Source organism: Homo sapiens, chromosome 10 (assembly GCF_000001405.40).
Source record: "Homo sapiens chromosome 10, GRCh38.p14 Primary Assembly".
Taxonomy (NCBI): domain Eukaryota; kingdom Metazoa; phylum Chordata; class Mammalia; order Primates; family Hominidae; genus Homo; species Homo sapiens.
The window spans coordinates 64,076,580-64,098,309 of NC_000010.11; the positions used below are offsets into that span (position 1 = coordinate 64,076,580).

General features: G+C 40.5%; 1 long non-coding RNA gene across 3 annotated transcripts in view, besides 1 other annotated feature; it reads left to right on the forward strand.

Moving 5' to 3' along the window:
* The window catches only part of LOC124902439 (uncharacterized), an 820,351-nt gene that overhangs the window by 203,991 nt on the left and 594,630 nt on the right, over window positions 1–21,730 (forward strand). The window contains exons 4-5 of one of the 3 annotated variants that reach the window (XR_007062163.1): window positions 8,586–8,643; window positions 14,630–14,672. The exons of the other annotated variants lie outside the window; for them this stretch is intronic. This is a non-coding gene — a long non-coding RNA (uncharacterized LOC124902439). Of the gene's footprint in view, window positions 1–8,585; window positions 8,644–14,629; window positions 14,673–21,730 lie in introns of those variants that run through there. 3 annotated transcript variants of the gene reach the window in all.
* Window positions 14,309–14,603: a silencer, noted in NCBI's record as "tiled region #9742; HepG2 Repressive non-DNase unmatched - State 23:Low, and K562 Repressive non-DNase unmatched - State 24:Quies". NCBI's record gives its function as "represses a minimal TATA promoter and a strong SV40 promoter by Sharpr-MPRA in HepG2 and K562 cells {active_cell/tissue: HepG2 | K562}" and the evidence as "EXISTENCE:reporter gene assay evidence [ECO:0000049][PMID:27701403]".

The window sequence follows — 21,730 nt, forward strand, 5'->3', positions numbered from 1 at the left end:
AGAGTGGAGAAACTTTAAGACCCAAAAGCCTCCCTTTTGCTGATTTAGACTCTGTTTATAACATAATTTTGGTGAAATATTCTGCAAGCAAATCTTTCTCTTTGTTCTTCCTACCAGCTGGAGGATATGTACATAGAGTACCATTTCCCAAGTCATGTGTTACGGAACATCAGTTTCAGGAGGTATTTACTTACTCACTCACCAATATGCATTTAGTTAATATCTACCATGTGGCAGATACTGTGCTATTTGGAAATAAAAGGCTAGGAAAAAAAACAAATCTGGGCCCTGCCTTCAGGGAACTCAGTGTCTAGTCAGGAGACAACTATTACTATAGTAATCAAGTAAGTATAAAATTTAAATGTGAGATAACTTTCATAAGAGAAAAGTTTACATACAGTGCTATGAAAGCATATAGTCAATAATAGGAGTTGGGAAGTTTTTTCTGCAGAGGACCAGACAGTTAATATTTTTGGCTTTGCAAGCCAAATGGTCTGGTCCAACTACAAAACTCTGCTGTTGTAGTGTGTCAAAGTAGTTCATGGACAACATGTAAACAAATGATCGTGGTTATGTTCCAATAAAACTTTATAGATACTGAAATTTGAATCTTGTGTAATTTTTACATGTTACAAAATTTTTCATTTGATTTTTTTTCAACCGCTTAAAGATGCAGAAACCATTCTTAGCTTGTGGGCTATGCAAAACAGGCAGCTGGATGGATGAGGCCCCTGGGCCATAGTTTGTTAATCTTTGTTCTAGGGGGCTAAGGAAGGGCTTTCCTGAGGAAGAGGTGTTTGATATGAGATCTGAATGTGAGTGGGAGAACTGAGTAGTGTGGGGACAGTGGTGGTGGGGGGAGAACTGGGTAGGGTGGGGACAGTGGTGGGTGGGAGAACTGGGTAGGGTGTGGGGACAGTGGTGGTGGGGGGAGAACTGGGTAGGGTGTGGGGACAGTGGTGGTGGGGGGAGAACTGGGTAGGGTGGGGACAGTAGTGCTGATGATACCATGAACCCCACAAATATCTACACTTACTATGTACCCCCCAAAATTAAAAATAAATAAAACAGAAAAACAAGAAAAAAGGACCACTCTAGTATGTTAACATCATGTTGCAAATAAAAGGGAATCTTTGGTGATATAAGGAAAACAACAACACTTTAAACATTCTGAGAAATTCCTGTAGCAGAAGAAATAGATTTTGCTTAAATCAATGTTTCCTAAACCGATTTGTCCAATAAAATCATTGTTAGGCTGAAGACCTACTAACATGGAGGGAACACATTTTTGGAAATGCACGTCTAGGGAGTTTTTGGCTGTAAAAGAATTCCAGAATATACTTCACACTTCTGTTCCAGAAATTTAGCCATGAAAATGACCCTAGTTCATGTAGCATTTTCATGTGGGTATTTCTGAGAATTTGTGTCTCTTTATTGAGGGATCTTTTAGGCTAGAATTTGACACCACTGTTTTTGCAGTAGCTTATGTGTGGACTTGCCCCGGGGGCAAGGGGACAAACTGAATGGCTCTCAGAGGACCCCATCTGGCATTTAATGATGCCATTATGGTTGTAAGAGAATTGAATGTATTTTACCAAATGCTCCGTGGGGAAAATAATAACAGCAAATATTTAGCTGATGATGACATACAGCTCCTCTGGAGAGCTGTGAGAACCTATTGATTCTCACTTCATAAAATGCTTATTTGAAAACTCTAATATCTGTGAGAGTTTTCCATGTGCTGTTCCACTAATGTGGTTTTTCCCAGAGCACCCAAGTAAAAAGTGGAAAATATTTTGTCCTACGTCTCCATATCCCCAAATATCTAGAAGTTTTGAGTTGATTAGACTAGATGTTTGGATAGTAGGTTGAATTTTCCACCATTTGTCCAGTTATTTTGGCTCTAAGTGTTCCAGCATAAATGTGTACATGAATTATTTGTTGTCATGTTTTTAATGCAGGGCAGTGTCCTCCATCTCATTCTTTTAAAACCTCTCTTTTACAATGGTCAGAGAAAAATGTGATAAGCACTTTTTGATTAGCACTTTTCAAACTATGCTTACCTCTGGGTCTGGGATTACTTTTTTGTGGCAGGCACACATTGAGATGCAGAGCATATTGGGATAAGTCTTAGGAGGATGCTTGTCTAGGAAGTCAGTTGACATACCATGAGATGAAAAACTTAAGAGAAATGTTCATGGCTAGAGCCAAGTAACTGCGTTTCCTCTGTTTTCTGTCTCAGTGTCTTTCTCTTTTGTCTGTCTCTTTTTAGTTGTCACGCCTCAGCCTTGGATCAAAACAAGAGAGAAATAAATACACGATTAGAGTCTTTGCTCCTTTGTACAGTGCTGTTGCTGAGGTAGATAAATGATCTGGGTGTTTCTGTGGTATTTTTCCATTATACTTGTAGAGGAAGCAGTGTTTATTATACATCAGAATCATTTGCTGTAAATGGTGTATTTACCTCAGTTCCTTTAGTTGAGCTTAAATTCTCAGTTAGCCTCCATGTAAATCTTGCTTAAAACCATACAACATTAAAGCTGAAGGGGTCTTACCAGTGGTCAGGCTGGGATTTCTCATTTCAGAAGAGGAAACTGAGATACTGAGGTAATGGCAGAGTCCAGGCTGACTCCTATCCTGACTTCTACTCTGTGTCTCTTTCTGGTCCAGCTTCTGTTTGATACCCAGTAGCAGCAATTCTCTGACATATGATTGATCTCCTCTTTCAATTTAATGTAGGCAGTGACCCTATAATACTTAATCTTGAGAAGTAAGAGGGTCTACCTTTCAACAGAATAAAACAAGGATGTCTTCCTTCCATATAGAAGGATAAATGTGTCTGTTTTTATGGGAAGCAGAAACAGGACATGCCATTTGACTAAGTGGAGAGAAGAGGGTGTGGGTGGGGATGGGGAGTATTTTATAACAGCCAGATATATAGAGTCTCATAAACAAACTGAGCACAAGTAATAAAGGAACTGCTCTTGTTCCCCACATATACATGGCCGGAGGGAAGGGTAACCAGTAAGGGATTTATGTGGACTGGTTACTGAGCTTCTTTATGGGCTTCTTTATGGGGCATCTGTCTGTGTAAGGCAAAGCAGCAGCAGGTGGGATTAAGACAGTTGGAAAGAAACAGCTGAGTTTGAGCTCTTTAGTTTTTAAAATTTTAATCTGAGAAGAGGGTAAAGCACTTATTTTCTATGAGCTTTTGCTCATGGAATCAGCTTTAGTTTGAGGGAGTTGGTGCTCATTGATCACAAAGCATGTGGAAGCATAGTTTCATATGGCTCTGTGGCAGAAACTTTAGGTGTGGGATGGGTAAAACAACCCCTGTCTCCAGATTGTTTAAATTGACTGGCAATTATAGAACATGGACCTATGTGTAGGGTTGCCAGATGAAATACAGGTAAATTCAAATTTCAGATAAACAGTAAATAATTTTTAGTATAAGCATGTTTCAAATATTGCATAGGGCATGTTAGGGGTTCTGTATTTTTATTTACTCATGGATGGGTACCTGGAAGCTTATCATAAGGCCCAAAGACTTTATTGGGATCAGAACTAGAATGAATCTTTGAGATCATTCCAATCCCTCTATCTCAGATAAAAGAACTTGGGTTTAAAGAAGATAAGTGAGTTGCCCTGGTTCACACAGCTGGCAATGGCTGAGCTTGGCCTTCAGCCCATTTTTTATCTAATTCTTATCTAATTCTTGGTATAATGCAGCACACTGATTTCATTGGTAGATGAGCACCATGGACTGGTATGTTTGAGAAAGCTCCAGGAGGGAAGTGGGACTTCAGTAGAATTTTGAATGGAAGTGGAATGGTTGGGGAAGGCATTCCAGTGGAAGACAAGCATAAGCAAAGGGGCAAAGGCGAGACTGAATTTTTTGTTCAAGGAAGGAAGGAATGAAAAAGATGTTACTGTGGAACATAGATCAGTCATTGGACCAATGGATTCATGCCAAGAGAAATAAAAGAAGGGAATATTGAAGAGATAGTTTAGATAGGAGTTAGATTTTGTAGCACCTTTACAAGTTTTAAAGATTTCAACTTCATTTAGAATGGCATAGAAAGGAGATGTGAAAGGTTTTTGCATGGACAAGTCAGTTCTATGTCAGTGACCAAAACAATTTTGAAAGACAGAGAGAGAGAGATGTTTCAAGAATTTGAATAATTTTTCTTTATAGTCTCTAGGGTTACTTTACCACTCAGCTAAGATGATCACTGGCACATTCTTCACTTCTTCTAGTGAGGAAGAATAGCGATATCTCAATTTCCTTTAGAAAATGAACTAATGGTGGGGCCAGTGGGAATTTCCCTACTTTGATTATAATCACAATTCTGGTGTGGGTGGCTACAAGTGAAGACTTCTGCCCATGTGGTATGTGTGTGTGTCTGTGTGTGCACCGAGTAAAATAACCACCTGAAGCATGATCCAAGGAACATGTATAAATCCTTTACATGAAAGAATTATTTGACTTCAGTGCCAAAGGAGTAACTTGATGATTAGTCTGATGAATAAGTGTGATCACACCTGAAATTCTTGGAGTAAGGATATTGATGAGGAGAAATTAGAGTTAATGGATAAGGTTTGAGAGGTCCATTGGTAGGACCCATATAAAAAAGCCAGTAACTCTTGGGCAAGACAGGTCAACTTAGTGGCTAAGAAATAGGCCCTCTGCACTTGTAGCTGGCAGTTCATTAAACTTGTGAGAGTAGGAGGATCTCTAGAAAAAAGTCAAACTAATATCCTTTCTGACCCAGTCCCTAAAGGATCCAAGGCTAGTCAACCTTTAGGGCTAGCATGAGGAGTAGACTGACCTGAGGAACAGGGAAAAGCCCCCTTTTAACGTACCCTCAAATGTCTCCCTGAAGACTGGCTGAAGGGATAAAAATTATTTGGATGAGATAAGCATTGATTATTTTATCAAAGTTAAAAGACTTGATAATGACAGATATGTCTAGGAGATATGACTAAGAAGTATGAATTGTCACAGAAGTTTAAGCAGAGATGGCAGATCCTTGCTTGTCTGGGAAGAGAACGTTGGACTCGGTATCTGGCAATGGAGCAGGGGGTGCCGGTGAAGATCAGTGGGACCTGGGCATGAAGTCTGGAACTGCCAAGTCTGATAACATCACAATTTTCCTGTTGTGGACTCTGTTTCCATCATTGTCATGTGGTAATCAAGCAGTACATGTTATCTATTTCAAATTCTGTTCAACTCTACAGAAACTATGCTCAGTAGTTAAATTTTGCATGGCCAAATAAACTGCATTCTCTGTGGAAGAGTCCTGTAGGTATGGGGTGGTGAAGGCAGAGGCCCTACTGGGAACTAGGGATGTGAAGGGGTTCACACAATGAACAAATTGCAGCTGATGCTCTACTCTAGAAAATAGGTGCCTTTTCTTAATGTTAGTGCTGATACTAAAGGATAAACATAAGATACCCCATTGCTGAGAAATGTCCCAAATTGAACTCCTGAGATTTGGCATCTGCACGTAATTACTTAGGGCACATAATTCTTTTATGGGTGCTCACTTAGTAAAGCATTTACATTTACATTCACAGCTCATTAGGTTGCTTGTGAATTTGATTTGAACATTTTAAGTGGGATTGTTTTTAATCTGTGGAGGCACCATAAACCCACAGTCACGCTCAACTGCTGCAGACTGTTAGAAGGAAAAACATAACTAGTTTGTTTTGCTTCCTGGGAGGAGTTTTATAAGGTGAGGGTGGACCCGAACATAGATAATATAAGGGGAATGTTTTTCCTTTTATCTTTGTAAGCCCAAGGCTTATGGAGCTATTGTGATCAAAAGTAAAGTTACTTGAAACTCTGATGGAGAAAGAACAAAATTAAATGTGACTTTTGAATTGTTATAAAAAATCATAAAATAGCAGATCTTTCAACCAGATGTTTAATTTTAAAATAGTAAACACTGCAGACTTTCTAGAGACTGTCAATGGTTTGAAAAACCAATTCAGTCTCTTCCCTTGGGCTCTTGCACCGCTTGGTAATGAGCACTGTTGGTCTTTAGCAAGGCAGTCGCTACGAGCAGTACATTCGGAAGTGTACCATCTAATGAATTTTTTTTTTGTAGGAAAACAGAATACATTTGCAATTTACTCATGGTGTCAGGTGTTCTTTAGCTGTGCACTTTGGGGTTTGAGTTAAGTGCCTGCAGTTTTCCTTTTTCATGGGAAAACTACAAAATAAAAGATTTCCTGTTGTTCCATGTTTGATGAAGGCAGCTCTTCTCTGAGTGTCTGCAGGTACATTTGATTTCAAATTCAAGTGTAATCTTAAGGAGACTTTCCCTGCCTTGATACTTTAGTGTGGGTCTTGGTACTATGGCCTGTACATGGAACAGATGTAAATTGTGCTCTGATTTTCAACATATGGTAGAAAAGACCAGTTAATCCCATGCAATTTTGGAAATTATTTGTTAGATTTGATTAGTGCCTGTGTGGATAATCAGATGGGGTTGTGGGGGTGGAGTATGGAGACAAATGCTCTCCAGAGCTTCTTATCTCAAAACTGTACTTTTCCAACAATTTTAACTAAGGTAACTTACTGATATCATGATCATTAAGAAAGTGACAAAAAGGCATTGGAAAAAGCAGTGTTAACACAAAGGTCCGCCTGCTTTTTACTGGACTGAAACATCAGAGGTCAGACCATGCAACTTGGAGAGAAGAAGTAAAACATGAAGTGCCTTTTGCTGTCCTCTTTCCCCACCAGCCCTAGTGCAGGCCCCAGCCTCCGTCCAGGCCTGCCCTATGGAGAGTCCTCAGCTGTGTTGCTCTCACGCTCCCCCTCTCATTTTGCCGGTCATTCCTTTGCCTCCTGTGTCTCCACGTAATCCTCTGATAATTCTGTTTTTTAGCCTTTCCACCTTGGGAACTCTCTCAGGCAGCCCTTGTGATTTCCTCCCTGTGGGAGTAGCTACTGTCCAGCCATCCTGTGGAAGACTAGAGGTGTCCACAGGCTTTGGAACTTCCAAGAACGCTATCAAGAGATCACAGCTGAGATGTGTCCCCATTTATTGCAGGTCATTTTTCCCCCTACAAATGCAGCTACTTCAATACGGGATTTTTAATGTTAGAGACCTCCAAGTTTCTGGAAACATTAAAGTTACAATTCCTATTTCAGTTAGACTCTAAATTGTAGAAATTAACCATCTTCTAAGGGACATGTGGAAGGAACGCGTGAGTTTAGCTGCAGCTAATGGTGGACTTCACACCATACACTGCGCTACTCTACGGGGTGCATTCCCAAGACTCACTGTTTATTTCTCTTTTTTGTTGAAACATGAGTCTCACCATATTGCCCAGGCTGGTCTCAAACTCCTGGCCTCAAGTGATCCTCTTGTCTTGGCCTCCCAAAGTGCTGGGATTACAGGCATGAGCTGCTGTGTCTGGACAAAACTCAGTTGTTAATGGTGCCCCTTGGAGCTGTATTATGTGGCAGTCCTAGGAGTCTTGGCAGGTGAATTTGCTAAATGTCTCATTTAATAAATGCTGAGCATTTTGAGGGCAGGCCCCATATTTCTCATAAGGTTTAGCATAATACCTTGCATAAAGCATATGTTTATTAACTGTTGATTGAAAGAATGAATTTGGATCTGTTTCAGGCAGGAAAAGTACAATAAAGAAAAGAATACATAAAGGCAAAGGAGGATGGCAATTGTGCTTTGTTTTTTTCCTACACAGCATTTGGAACCAGAAGACCTAGATTCAAACCACAGCTCTAATATTTACTAGTTGTGTGCCCTCTTTGAGCCTGAATTTCCTTAATTGTCAAATAAATATAATAACAACTGAGCTTCTTCCCTCAGAGGGTGGTTGTGAGACTCAAATGACATAATAATTGTGTAATAATTGCCTTAGGAGGGTACTTTTCCAGCTCAAAATGACCCCCTTGACTGTTGGCCCTAGCTCCCCATTCTAGGAATGAGTCTCTGAGTCAATTTGTATAATGTGACCCAACACCTACTTGAAAATAAGGGATTGGATCAGTGTTGAGTGCTTGACCCAAGCTGGACCACACAGTATCCCTGACCTGCAAATTTGGAAATGCACCTGACACAGTCAGTCTCCCTTGTCTGAAATTGTAACCGGGGAACTTATGACTTGAAGACAGCCATCTTCTCCCAGCCACGTTAACAACTGAGTAGCAGAAAATATTGGCCTTCTAAAAAATAAGAAACACATATGTAAAAAGAACCAGAAAGTAAAAATGATGAACAACTGTTCTCTGGGTTACAGAGACCCTGCTGCATCTTTGCCTTGACACTCTTGTATCCTTACAATAAATTTCCATTTTATGCCTAAGTCAACTCAAGTTGGTTTTTGCTTTTCTGTTCAATCAAAGCATTAAAGGATTTTTGTGATGCATTTTCTAATATAATAATTTTCCCCCATAGATATAAGTACAGCCTGAGAGCACTTCTGCTTCACAGGAGAAGATCTCTGTCTTTTAAAATTAATAAGAAATAATGGTCCTTTTCTGACAGTTTTGATCCAAAGCCTACAATTTCTACCTATGCCACTGTCTTTTAAAATTCTCTCTTAAGGTAACCAGCATCCGAAACCCCAGCTGCTGTCTCCATGGTGATCAGGATACCCCCTGTGGTAAGTACCTTGTGAGGGCCACACAATATCCATGGCCGCAGATGTATGTGATATGCTGAATTATTGGCATGGGGAAGTGTCAGGAAGCAAGGCCACTGAGGCTTCTTTTTATGCAATTAATGATGTTCATTTCTGCCTATCTTTTGCCCATGCAGCAGAGCAAGGTGCAGAAAGCCACTACAGAAAATTAGCCATAATTTAGGTAATATCTCAAATGCCCCGTCAGTTACTTGATTATGTGATTGAAAGGAACATTTCATTTGGAGATTTGCAATTTTCTGGTGCTACTGGCATTACACAATTACGTTTCCTGTCATTTATCACATTGTGGAATACCAAGACAAATTCCTCTCTCCTTACATTTATCATACTACTGGGGCATATAGAGACAGATTTAGCCAATTGCTTTATACCAATTGATGCCCCCCGTTAGCTGGGGACATTCAGCAGCTTTTCTGTTTGAAGATCTCTTGAACATATTCTGCACTGAGAGGATTGTTTCCCCAATTACTTCGAAATTGAGATTTTCCCCTTAACCACAGCATTGCCTTCCAAAAGGAGGAGCTGAGGCCTATCCGCCTTTTGCGGCAGGTGTGCCGTGTGAACAGAGAATGACAATGTTGCAAAGGGACTTCCTTCTCCTTGGGAATCTGGGAGCAACAGTGCCAAAATGGGGCATTCAGGCATAAGGGTAGATGAGAGCTTTCAAAATGTTTGAGTCCTGACTTGCCATGGTCAGATTTAAAGCTGTGAAAAAACAGCATTTAAACAAAAGTAACTTAAATATTTAATTTAGAAAGCAGGTAAAGAGCTTGTGGGGCCTTACACACATGAAATTCTCTGCAGGCAGTTAGGTTCCCTTTCACTCATGGACTAACCTAGATTTTCCTTTCCTCTATAAAGATGGTATTGGAGATAATTCCATCCCTGACCCTTGATATAACTGAGGTTTTCAAGTAGTTTGTAAGTAGCTGGTTCCTGCATCAGAAGCTTGTGTTTGCCAAGAATATGCACATTCCTGAGCCCCAGCCTAAGCTTTGGAACCAAAGTACCTGGGGCCTGAGGAATCTGCATTTCAAACAAGTGCTAGGGGTAGTTTTGATAGGCACACTAAACCAGTTGTTTGCATCCCTGGATGCTCATTAGAATAACTCAGAGAGATTTGGAAGCTTCTAATACTCTGGCTGCACCTCAGACCCATTAAATCAGGGCCCTTGAGACTTAGGTGTCAGATGCTTTTACAGCTCAAGCTCTCCAGGCGACTGCAGTGTGCAGCCAAGATTGAGCACCCGTCACTGAACTGTGGGAGAATCACTACAAGGAAGCAGAACTCCTGGATGTCAGTACTCCCTTAGAAGATTCCAGGATGTGTGCCTTAAGGCCAGTTGGCAATTGCCTCAGAGTCTTCAGTGAAACAGGGGCCAGGGTAAATCTTAACTCTCTGAGGACTTGGGGTTGCCTGTTGCTTTAAGGTCTCTTTAATATTAAGATCTCTGTTTCTAATCAAGCCAGGTTCAGGCTTTAACCCCCTGTGGGACCTAGTTTTCCCTGACCCTGACCAGGCCTCAGGAAGGAGACTCAGAGGGTGCAGGAATCAGTGAACCATCCCCTTTCTTCCCACAGTCGCCCTATCACATTATCCGTTTTGGTGTTTAGACATTTATTAGGATCTGAGTTGATCTTATTTGCTTATTTATCTGGGTATTATCTCTCTCCCTTCTATAGCATAAGCTTGATGAGGGTAGGAGTTGTGTATGCCTTCTGCCCAGAATAGTGCGTGGCACGTAGTTGATACTCAACTGATGTTTGTTGAATGAACACAAATACTGAAAAAATAATTTAGATTATGGACCTTACAAGTATGAGGTAAGCAGCTAAAGGACACAAGAGTTCTGCCTGGAATTTGATCTGGGCAAGGAAATTAGCTTGGCTTTTACATAAGTTGATCAATACCATCCTCTTCCTTAGCTGCCACGATTCTCTTCTGCTGTTTCCCATGTAGTCAATAAGATGACTTGAAGATTTACCTTCAGAAGAGCGCTGCTTATTAATTAAGGCCTGCTACTTGATTCTCTTGGGCCTATCTTGAATCCATTGAGATCTAGGTCATAGGAGTCAGGGCTTGCACTCAGAGTCAACTTCTCTTCCTCCTGGAACTCAAGATCATGTGTTTGCTCTGGGGTTTTAAGAGTCATGGAGCAAATTTAAGCATGCAGCAGTAAGGGCAGAGATCTAATTCTACTTTTGTTTCCAGAAAACAACTGGGCTCACAAAAGATCAACAACTGTCCAAAAAGTCTCTCTGGCTTAATGCTGAAGGGCCTCAAATGTGAGCCATGTAAGAACAGCTGATATTTAATTTATAGGACTTGATTGCTTTTAAAACAGGTATTAATGTATTGCAAAGCTAAGTAAACTGTCACTTGAGACTTCAGTGAACAAGCTCCATTTAAAGAATAGCGGTCATTTTTGCCATAAAGTTGTAGTAAATTGCTTTAGGGAAGAGCTGTAAAATATCCTGTCTTTCTAAGGACCTTTGTATTCACAGAGGATGTTGGGAACCTGTGACAGGTGGGGACGAGGAGGAGGCCAGGACATGGTGTACAGGGTCTAGGGGACCCACTGGGCTATAGAAGTGGCCCCAAAGAAAGAGGCTGCTGGTCAAAATCATAATGTCTAAATCGGTAGCACACCAAGACTGATCTGGGCCCTTGTGAAAATCAGAGGCCTGATTTGGGGTTGGGGAGTACTGTGGCATCACTGGTAATATTTGTGGTCTGATGACTGCTGCTCCAATTTCTTGAGCAGATGGGGCTACTCAGGACCAAGTTTTTGAGAGTTGGAGAAGAAGCCAAGACAATGAGCGTCAGGGCAGGGGTGATGGTAAGGAGAGACTGTAGCTCTGTAACCATGCAACTCTCCTATACCTAGGGCTGTTTGGGCTTAGGAACGTAGAGGAATTCTACACTACCTCTGCTGGTGAGGCAAGGACACCTCTGTTATTGCCAGGCTGTCTTCTCAGTAGCCTAAGAGTAAGGGCATTTGAACCTTCTAGCAGCAGGATATCTGTATCTCAAGCAGAGATAAGTCAGGATGGATGACTGCTGCTGTGTGCCATTCTAAATCTGAGAGTCCTTTCATGATCACATTGGTGTACCCCTAAGGCCCATGGCACTGGTGCAGAGTCTGAAGATCTAAGATTTTTATGGAGACATCTGGGGGGATGACATTGGACAAGCAGATGACTTCCCTGAGCCTCAGAATTTTTTTCAATGAAGTTGATCTTGGGTTAGGAGGAAAGTCAGTTCCTACAATATTCAAAATATATGTTAAATAAAGACAAATTATTATCTTTTTTATTGTTGCCATTGCCTTTAGGTACTTTGCTATGTTAAAATATGATTTAAATGTGGGCCGGATGCAGTGGCTCATGCCTGTAATTCCAGCACTTTGGGAGGCTGAGGCAGGCAGATCACGTGAGGTCGGGAGTTCGAGACCAGCCTGACCAACATGGAGGAACCCTGTCTCTACTAAAAATACAAAATGGGACAGGTGTGGTGGCGCATGCCCGTAATCCAAGCTACTCGGGAGGCTGAGGCAGGAGAATCACTTGAACCCCGGAGGCGGAGGCGGTGAGCCGAGATCATGCCATTGCACTCCAGCCTGGGGAACAAGAGTGAAACTCCTTCTCAGAAAAAAAAAAAAAAAAGTGAATGCTTTGCTCAGTGTTGTACATTTCTGTGCCTCCTCTTTTTATCTCCAGTTAGCCACATTCTATGTTTTCAGGCCTGGGTCAAACCAGAATGCCAAATGAAGATCTCAGGACAAGCACGTAATTGTTGATATCTGCTCTTAGGACTTGTCCAGTCTCTGATCAGTCATTTGCCTTTTTATTCATTCAGTAAACTCTTACTATGTCTCAATTACTGTGCTAGACATTGGACATGTAGAGATGAAAGACAGTGCTTACCATCAAACAGCTTGCAAGATTGTATGCAGTATGTTGGGGGGAGTTGGGAGAGTTTAAAAAATTATTCTTTTAGATATTTGTTTGGAATTGATTCTACAGAATAATAGCAAGTCTTATACATTTCCAAGTCTTCTCATATAAATGATCTCATTTAATTTTCTCATCACTGAACACATCTAAGAGGAAGATACTAGGAGCTGTATTTACACGTGGTGGAAATGAAGGCTCACAAATATAAAGTGAATTGCTCAAGGTTACATAGTTAGTGAGTGGTAGGGTGAGGAATCACACTCTGGACTCCTAATTCCAGGTATGATGCACTTGTAGCACATGGTGGCAGCCCCAGGGCTCAGCTGTCAAATGCAACCATCTACACACACACACACACACACACACACACACACACACACACACACACACACACACACACACACAGAGTCTTAAAGTTACTGATGTGAATATTTAATGGGTGACCATTACTGAGGGTTGAGTGGAGAAGTTGTTAGCAAAACATTCTGCACATTTTGCCAGCCAGCATTCTAAGAGATCCTTTCTGGAGCTGAGGATAACAGATCTGGGTTTCTATTCCCTGCTGAGAGGGGCATCCAGTGGCAGCAGCTGGGGCTGGTCCAGTGCTCAGTCTGGCTTCCTGGCCAGGGGATACGGGAGTCAAGGTCTTCAGCAACAGATCTTAGAACTGTTGCCAGAAGTGAAGTATGAACTTCCTCTCTCTGAAGAATATTGCCTGCCAGGGAGGTAAAAGTAATTACTTGTCCTTGCTAATTGAATTCTGAACTTTAAAGTAGAGGTTCTGACTTAGGTTAACATGACACGGGCCAATTTAAAATTTTAACTTAAAGGAAAAAAATGGCAATGAACCTTAGTACTTGGAATGTGGCAGATTGAGTTTCTCAGGGCTGGAGCCAATTTTCACAACTTCTGCAGGTGCTGGCCTCCTGCAGAAGTCTTCAGCATGCCCTGCTTGTAACCTTGGCTAATGCAAAAGAGTTACCTGACTGAAAAGCAGGAAATTATTTCAGTCAATTTCATTCCATAGGCTTTTTCTCCCTGAACTTCTCGTGCTTAGTTTAAAGTGGTTTTTATTTTTTTTATTTACTATCTTTGGATACCAATTTTAATAGGTAAAATCCATGGATTGCTTACTATTTGTTGGGGGCAGTTCTAAAAAAAGAAGTGTATAGGCACTATTTTCACCATTGAGCAGCTGAGTTATCTGAGGCACAGAGAGGTTAAGTAATTTGCCCAAAGCCACAGATAGGAAGGTGGCAGGGCCAGGATTTGGACTCACGCAATCTGGCTCTGGAGTGTTCATGTTGAGCCTCTCAGGGTATGCCCAGTTTGGAGATACCATGTGACCTCTCCTACCAAGGATGTGCAGTTTAAACCAGTTGGCCTGGGCCAGTCTGGACTCCAGTTTTTTGAAAGCTTAATGATGAGAGGCTGGAAAGTGCCTGGCCTGACTTTGGCAGGTAACCTCCTAGTCTGGGAATCACACGTCCTGCCCAGGATGTCCTTTAAGATATAACCCAGAAATAACCATCTTTGGGAAGGAATTGGTATCAGACTTATGTGTGATTGTCTCACAGGTATTTTAATCAACTTACTGTTGCTTTTGTCTCATATGTCTTGGTGGAGGTAGGAAGGCCCAGGGGAAGATTGGACTTCCTGCTAATTTAGAAACTGGAATTCCAGAATATTTTCTATGATTGATGTAAGGATGATGCTGTTTATTTCCCAAGCTAACAATAAGTAGACATGCTGGGCACATAAGTCTTTCTCTTATTGGAGTAATTTGGGCGTGGCAGAAGTAGACTGATACAGGTGGCATAGTCACCAAGTTGGAATTCACTGGCAATTGTAGGAATTGCTGTGACTTAGTTTGCATGAAACCTGCTGTCAGAGGGTTAAGAATCTTGGAGTGAAGAATACTTCTTGCAACAAGAGAGTTTCTCTGTGAAAATACTCTCTCTCTCTCTCTCTCTTTTTTTTTTTTCAGATGAAGTCTTGCTCTGTCGCCCAGACTAGATTGCAGTGATGTGTTCTCGGCTCACTGCAACCTCCGCTACCTGGGTTTAAGCGACTCTCCTGCCTCAGCTTCCAGAGTAGCTGGGACTACAGGTGAAAATACACTCTTCAGGAGGAATTATTTTTTGGTACTACCTTACCTTTTGATAACATTTAAAACATTATTATCATTATTATTTTAAAAAATGAACCTTGGTTGTAAAGCTCTGAGTGAGTGCTCGTTGTTGCCAGTTGAGGGAAGCATTTGGGAAAGCAAATAATTAATTTCTTGGGGCTTCTATTTCCTATCTGTAAAATGGTGGTAATAATATCCACCTCATGAATTATTGGAGTGTTCAACTGCAGTCTGATCTTCAACTGAAAAACATCTTTCTCCACAATTAGAATATTGCAACATTTTCATCCTAGACGGAAAGAAGCCTTTGTCATTTGATTTCATTTGCAACATCTCCATGCTCTTAGGTACTGTCTCTTTACCCAGACAATCCAAACTGGTTTAGTTAGACATAAAGATGTCTCTGAAGGCCATGGGACCATTAATGCAAAGGCTTAATTAAATGACAAGTTCAATTCCAACATTACTGATTTACTTGCTGTGGGAAAAGTGCCAAACCTAGAGTCAGTTTAATTGAACTTAAGTGATACCCCGTTTATTCACCACCTACCAAACGGCACTCTGTGTGTGTGTATGCATGCACACACACATGCACACACGTGCACATGCATGCATAAGTATACATACTGTAAAAATGATACAAATACAGCATATCAATACATACATAGATCAACTGAGAGCATAATTTTCGTGCATGCTTCTAGAACTTTATACCACTGTTTCCACCTCAAACTGTGGGTGGCAGCAGAGACTTGGGAAGTATCTTCTGTGCAACTCAGATGACTTTCCGGGGCTACTAATGGCAAGGAAATGATAGCACTAAGTGATGAGAAAGTTGGATCTTCATTTTTGAACTACAATTGACATTCCTTTATCATTTCCCATCTCATTCTTGTGGTCAAAGATGGTAAAAGATGCCTGTGATCTGGGACCCTCACTGACATGTTGTCTTTTAAACAGGCTTTTCATTATTTTAGGCCGATTACTTTCTCTCTTATTGGAGATTGCAGGCACTCCTAAGAAATCCTTTTTTTTGGCTGATGCTGCTGTCTTGCATACATCTGACCAGTGTGGCTTTCGGCTTCCTTTGGACCCCAAAGTGCTTCCTAAAGCTAATGGTGGACTATTATATTGAACTTGGCCTAACCCTTCAGTCTTTTGTGCACAGGTCTATCCTCCTGACACGGGCAATGGCCAAGGTTGTCCCAGCTCAGAGGATCAGTGAACTCCTGTGACTTTGTTTCCTCCTGAGAAGGACAGGCACACCAGCCTTTGACTTGGCCTCTAGTTCCTGGCTGAACGTGAAAGAGGCACACTGGATGTGAAAACCCACTTTCCCTCCTCTAAGTATTCCTCCTTGAGGCACAGGAGAGCAGGGGATGCCTTTGTGGATTCAGAAAAGATTGGCAAAAATGAAAAGTGGTGCCAACTACTGCTGATGGGGATGGGGGGAAGTATATACTCTCATACACTATGGGAAACATCTAATGATGTCAAAAATTATACAGACCCTTAACCCACTCCCAAGATATCATGCCACAAAAGGAAAATAACCAGATACTAAGAATACATGTTAAAAAAAGAAAAAGAAAGCAAACATCAATAAATAGGAAAACAGCTTTATAGACTATAGTTAATTCAATCTATGAAGTATCATTCAGGCATTAAAAAAGAATGAGCCGGGCCATATTGTTGTCTTAGAAGACATTTTGAAAGCTGTTATTAAATGACAATAGTAAGATGTAGAGAAACATGTAATAGTCACCTTTATAAAATAAATAGGCACAAAATCTATACATGTCTTATATTTAATACTTTCCCTCTATGTTTTAACTCTCTGCAAATCAAATTCATCTTACAAACAATGGTCTTATAATCACTGTCAGCATCAAAATCAAGTTCTTCTAGAGAGGATTTGTGTTTGCTTCTATGGGTCACCTGCAGAAGGTCTTACTAAACTGAGGCCACTTTAAATTAAATTCTATTGGTGAGGATTTCCTTTTTTGAGAATCTCTTTGGTTGTGTGAATTCATACCCCAAGTCTGTGTGATGATTAGCTTCTGATCAAATTCTCAGGAGAGAATTTGTTTTCTTCTTTCTCCCGTTGTCAAGGTAGAGGAACGAAATCTTCCTTGTTGTTCTTTATGAAGAGCTTACTTCCTGTTTAACCTGACTCTGAGATAGAGCTCTTTCCTTTCCTGCCTTTAAGTTAGGGGCTTCTATTAGACTCCTTTGTTTGGATAATTTCTCTTTCTCAGTGGCATATAACAAAATTGTGCATCTTGTAATTAATGATATTTATGTATTTGTGTCGTAGGACCATGATGAAAAGTGCAGAGGAGTACATATCTAGTTGTTAACATGAGATACCTGAATAGTGGTGGGGTGAAGGAGATGATAGAAAAAGGGAGGGACAAAGATTTAAAAAAACAGAAAGACTGAACAGAAGAGAAGAAGGGTTGTATACCACTTCATATATGCTCTGATCCTATTTATGTGAAATTGTTTCTCTCTGACTGTGTACATTTATAACAGAATTAGAATAAAAGGTAAATAATTTAGTCTGTATTGTAAGATTGCTTATGCTCTATTGTTTGGTGAAAAAAAGCAAGTCGTATATTAAAAGTATGAGACTATTTAGGGAAAATCCAATGACTAAATTCTTCTCTCTATATACATGCTTGAGTACATTTAGATGAATGAGTCTAAAGGTATGAAGTGACACATACCAACCTATTAATTCTATGCCATTTGGGACAAGGGGTGAGAGTTAGATGGAGTGGAGGTGGTTGCGGTGGTGCTGGGAGATGATTAGCTCTTTATAGAACTCTGCATGGTTTCACCTTGTAAACATGTACAGACTGCTTTCATAATTTGAAAAGCCTCACAATGAATAAAAAAATCCAAGTTACTCATGTGACATAATTTGATGCATCCTTCCCTTCCCAGTATAAGAGGTTTAAAAAGACTGCTTAAAAACAGGCTGACAATGTCTCCCGGATGGAGAGAGAATTTTTCTAAAAAACCAAGTGAGTCATCATAAGCTGATTCAAAGATTCACAATTTCCTTGGTATTTATTATGCCTAAATTTTCCACATCAGGTTGGGTTATACATAGTTATATCTTTAATAACTACACATAGTTAAGAATGTCTTTATTGATTGTTTTGCTCTTTATTTCCCCAGATGCAATTCTTTCTTTTGGTTCTATGTATGTTTCCATGGAAGTATTATAGACATTTCTAGGTCTGAGACAGCCAAGGGAAGGACGAATAAAGGCTTATGGGTAACCATAATGAACATTCAAATCATTTTATTTGAGCTGCCACCAGCCAAACCCTTTTTCTCCTTTTCTATCTGTCTCTCTCCTTCCCTTCCTCAAATATTTATTAAGCAATTATTATGACACAGATACTGCACTAGATCCTGGAGATACAAGACTGAGGCTGGAGTTCCTGTGGCTGTGTTTAAGGGTGAGGGTAGAGGACTCAACTCTCTCCTTTGTGGCCTCATTAACATTTCCTTCTGTAGCCAAGGCACTGTGGTCTATTCTCCTTGGCCAAGCCAAGCTGCTGCTTCTCCCACTTCTGCAGCTGGGGTCCTATTGGTGAGAACTACTCACTACCCTCTGGCAGTGGCTCTGATTGCTGTTTTCAGTTGTTTCAGCTGTAAATCCATCATGCCACCTGTGGGGTGGGTGGCTGGGGCTGCCTTGTGCTGTAGAGCTGGACCTTCACAGCATCTCTATCTCTTTGCCTGGACCCATCCAGTTTGTACCTCACTTTCTAGGGGATCAGGGTATTTCCTATTCACATGCTGGAGAGTCTCTTCCCAGCTCCACAAAACAGTGCTGGTCTCTTCACTTGTGTTGCCTTGCATGCAAATCCATGATCTTTTCCCCCTTAAGCTCTCATTTTAAATATCTATATTTAAAATTAAAAATTTATGTCCATGCCTTTTTTGCTGTAGAACATTATTGATGTGCCTTATTAGCAGGCCAGCTGATAGGGGCTCCATTTTTTTCTTTGCTAATTGACTTCCTAGGTCAGGAGGAAAGCTTGAGGATTAGTGAAATTTGCTCTCAGAGGACATTCTCTTGCCTTCAGAAGCCTCTGGCTTGTCTTTAGTTGACACTGCTTTTAAAATTTTTTTATTTTGTCAGAGAACAATACTTCTGTGTGATTCCAATTTTCTCTGTTTTTAAATTTTAGTTTCTATAATTCATTAATTCATTCAACTATTATATTTTGAACATACTGTGAAAAGTACAATGGTAGAAAGAGGATGAAGGTAAAAGAGTGGCAATATATGTCCTTGGCCCTGGCTTCTCTGAGCTTAAAATTTATGCACCTCAACAGGACAAGTGATCACAGAAGGTTATATGTGAATAAGTGAAAAAGTGAACGAGGTGGCCATTGCTGATGGAGCTCAGAGCATAAGGAAACATCCTTTTGGTTAGAAGATTCAGGAAAGGCCCCAGGAAAGAGAAGAGACTTGAATTTGGCCTTGCAGGATAGAAGGATAGATTTGGATTCTAGGCTATTTTCAATGCTAAATATTTCTAATAATATCTGTGACTTTTATCTAAAAATTCTGAGAAGAGATCAATTCTGGGAATTTATCTGAGAAGAGAAATTCCAGAGTAGCTATTTCTTCCGGAAACTCACCATTACTAGTCCCTAGAACTCATGTGCTATTTTCAGGTGGGTTGCAAGAGCCCTGGGTTTAGCTTGAATGGATGCTCTATGTTCTGTGAAAAGTTTCATCATTTTGGGGCAGGAGCAATGATTCTGTAAGGGTACCAAGTAGCTAAACAGAGAGCTTGGGCTGATGTTCAAGTTGAGGCTATATTTCCATCTGTCCATGCTTCCCTTCCAGCATGTTAGCTATGGTTTGTAAATTAAACCCACATCTAGAAAAAATGGAAGCACTATGTATTTTCCAGCCAGGAGTGATGTCGACGATGCCTTCTATGGAATTCCAAAGACAGTATTTCTAATGAGGTGGTAGAAGAGAAGGGTATTGGCATGGTAATGTGAAGGGACAAGAAAATAAAAGACGCAAGGGGAGAGGAAGGAGGAATACAAACTCTTCTGGGAGAAAGTGTGTATTATTTTCCTCTTTCTAGGTCTATGACAGAATTTATCATAGTCTTAGAGAGAATATCCTTCTTGAATAATGTTCTTTAATGTACTTCTTGTATTTCTTAGAAAAAGCATTATAATCTCATTGAGCATTTATTCCCAGTTGGAGACTGCAGATTTATGTCTGCATCTCAGGCTCACCCTTGGGTATGTACTCATGATACAAAAGTGGATGGATATCTGTATTATGTAAATTGTGATTTCTTCTTCTTTGTGATGTCTTTCTTTCTGCTGTGTGCATACAGTTGAATTCATATAAGTAAATCTGTATCTGATGCATTTCCACGGTAATCAATGACAAGGTGATTGTTTCAAGTTTGGTGGGGGGAGTCACTGACTCCTTTGAGAATTTGTGGAAAACTGTCTATCTTTCCTGGAAAAAAATGTACCTATTCATCTACATAAAAAATATGGCCTATTATTTCAGGGCATCCATAGCCTATTTGTAGACGCCTGGGCACAGATTGCCATCATGTCAAAAGAGGGAAAGCTTTCTCCCATTTGGCTCACAGAGAGCTGAGGGAGCAGATAGAGTTCGTCAGCAATGAGAGATGCTAAAGCTGTGGAGAAATGGGGGTTAAAATGCATTGGCAGCTCCAAAGGCCTGAGGAGAGGCATGGTGCCAGGGACCACAAATTCCTGAAGAACCTGAACTCCAGGAAACCTGGACAGGAATGTTATAGTACTGACCCAATTTCTGCAACCAAAACCAAACCAAAACAAAGGCTGTTTTAGTCTGTTGTCCACCAAGTTCCTGCTTTACAGCTACAAGTTTATTGCCTCTGACTTTTGAGGGACGGAAGACCGTGCAGGAATTTTCCAGCACTTGGACCAGATCAAAATAAACAGAAGGAGTGAGTCGTTACCTGAGCACCAATAATGCTGGGTGAAGCCTGAGCCAAAGATTTCTCAGGCTGCAATCTGGGTCCTTGGTATGAGTGGTTTCACCTTGAGCCCAGGTATCATCCCATCATAATCGTTAAGAGAGTCAGAACCATTTCTTATCTATCCGTTGTTTTTTGTTTTGTTTATAAGATTAAAAACGTGTGTTCTTTATTTAATTAAACTACAAGATAAGAAGTGTCGAAGTTGCGCAAGAAAGAATATCTCATTCCAAAAGAAAATTGCCAGCCATGCATATCTCCAAGAGGAGAGAAAGAGAAGAAATTAACCCTGGGCCAATTTGAACATTTTAAGAGTAAGTATCCAGTGGTAATATCCTTCTAGAAAGCTATTCAAGCCTAGTGTCATTTAGCATTAAATAATATAATCAACTTCCATTTTTCTGGTTAAGAGTCTTCGAACTATGGCCTACAGGCCAAATCTGGCTTGCAGTTGAGTAGCTGTCACACAGCCATATGGACCACGAAGACGAAGATATTAACTATCTGGTCTTTTATGGAAAAAGTTCTTCAACTCTTGTTTCAGCTGATGAAGCAAATTTCTAACATTTTGGCTTTTCATATAAGGGGAGACTATACTGGTTAGGCCAATGCAAATGTTGTCTGCTTGATAGTTTTATTCTCTTCATAAAATTATAAGCTGCCATTCTTGTTGTATATAACAGTTTCTTGGAGGCTGTGTTAGTCTGAGTACGTAACATTAAGTCTGATCATTGTTGGAACACTGTTTCTGAGCATGCAGTTGAGGGTAAGATTAGGGCCTGAAATTAATTCAGCAATTCCATTGCCTCTCCTTGGTGACTGTAATGGTTTGAATATGGGTTGTCCCCTATGAAACTCATGTTGAAATTTTATTCCCAATATAAGGGTGTTGAGAGGTGGTGGGACCTTTAAGAGGTGTTTGGGTTGTG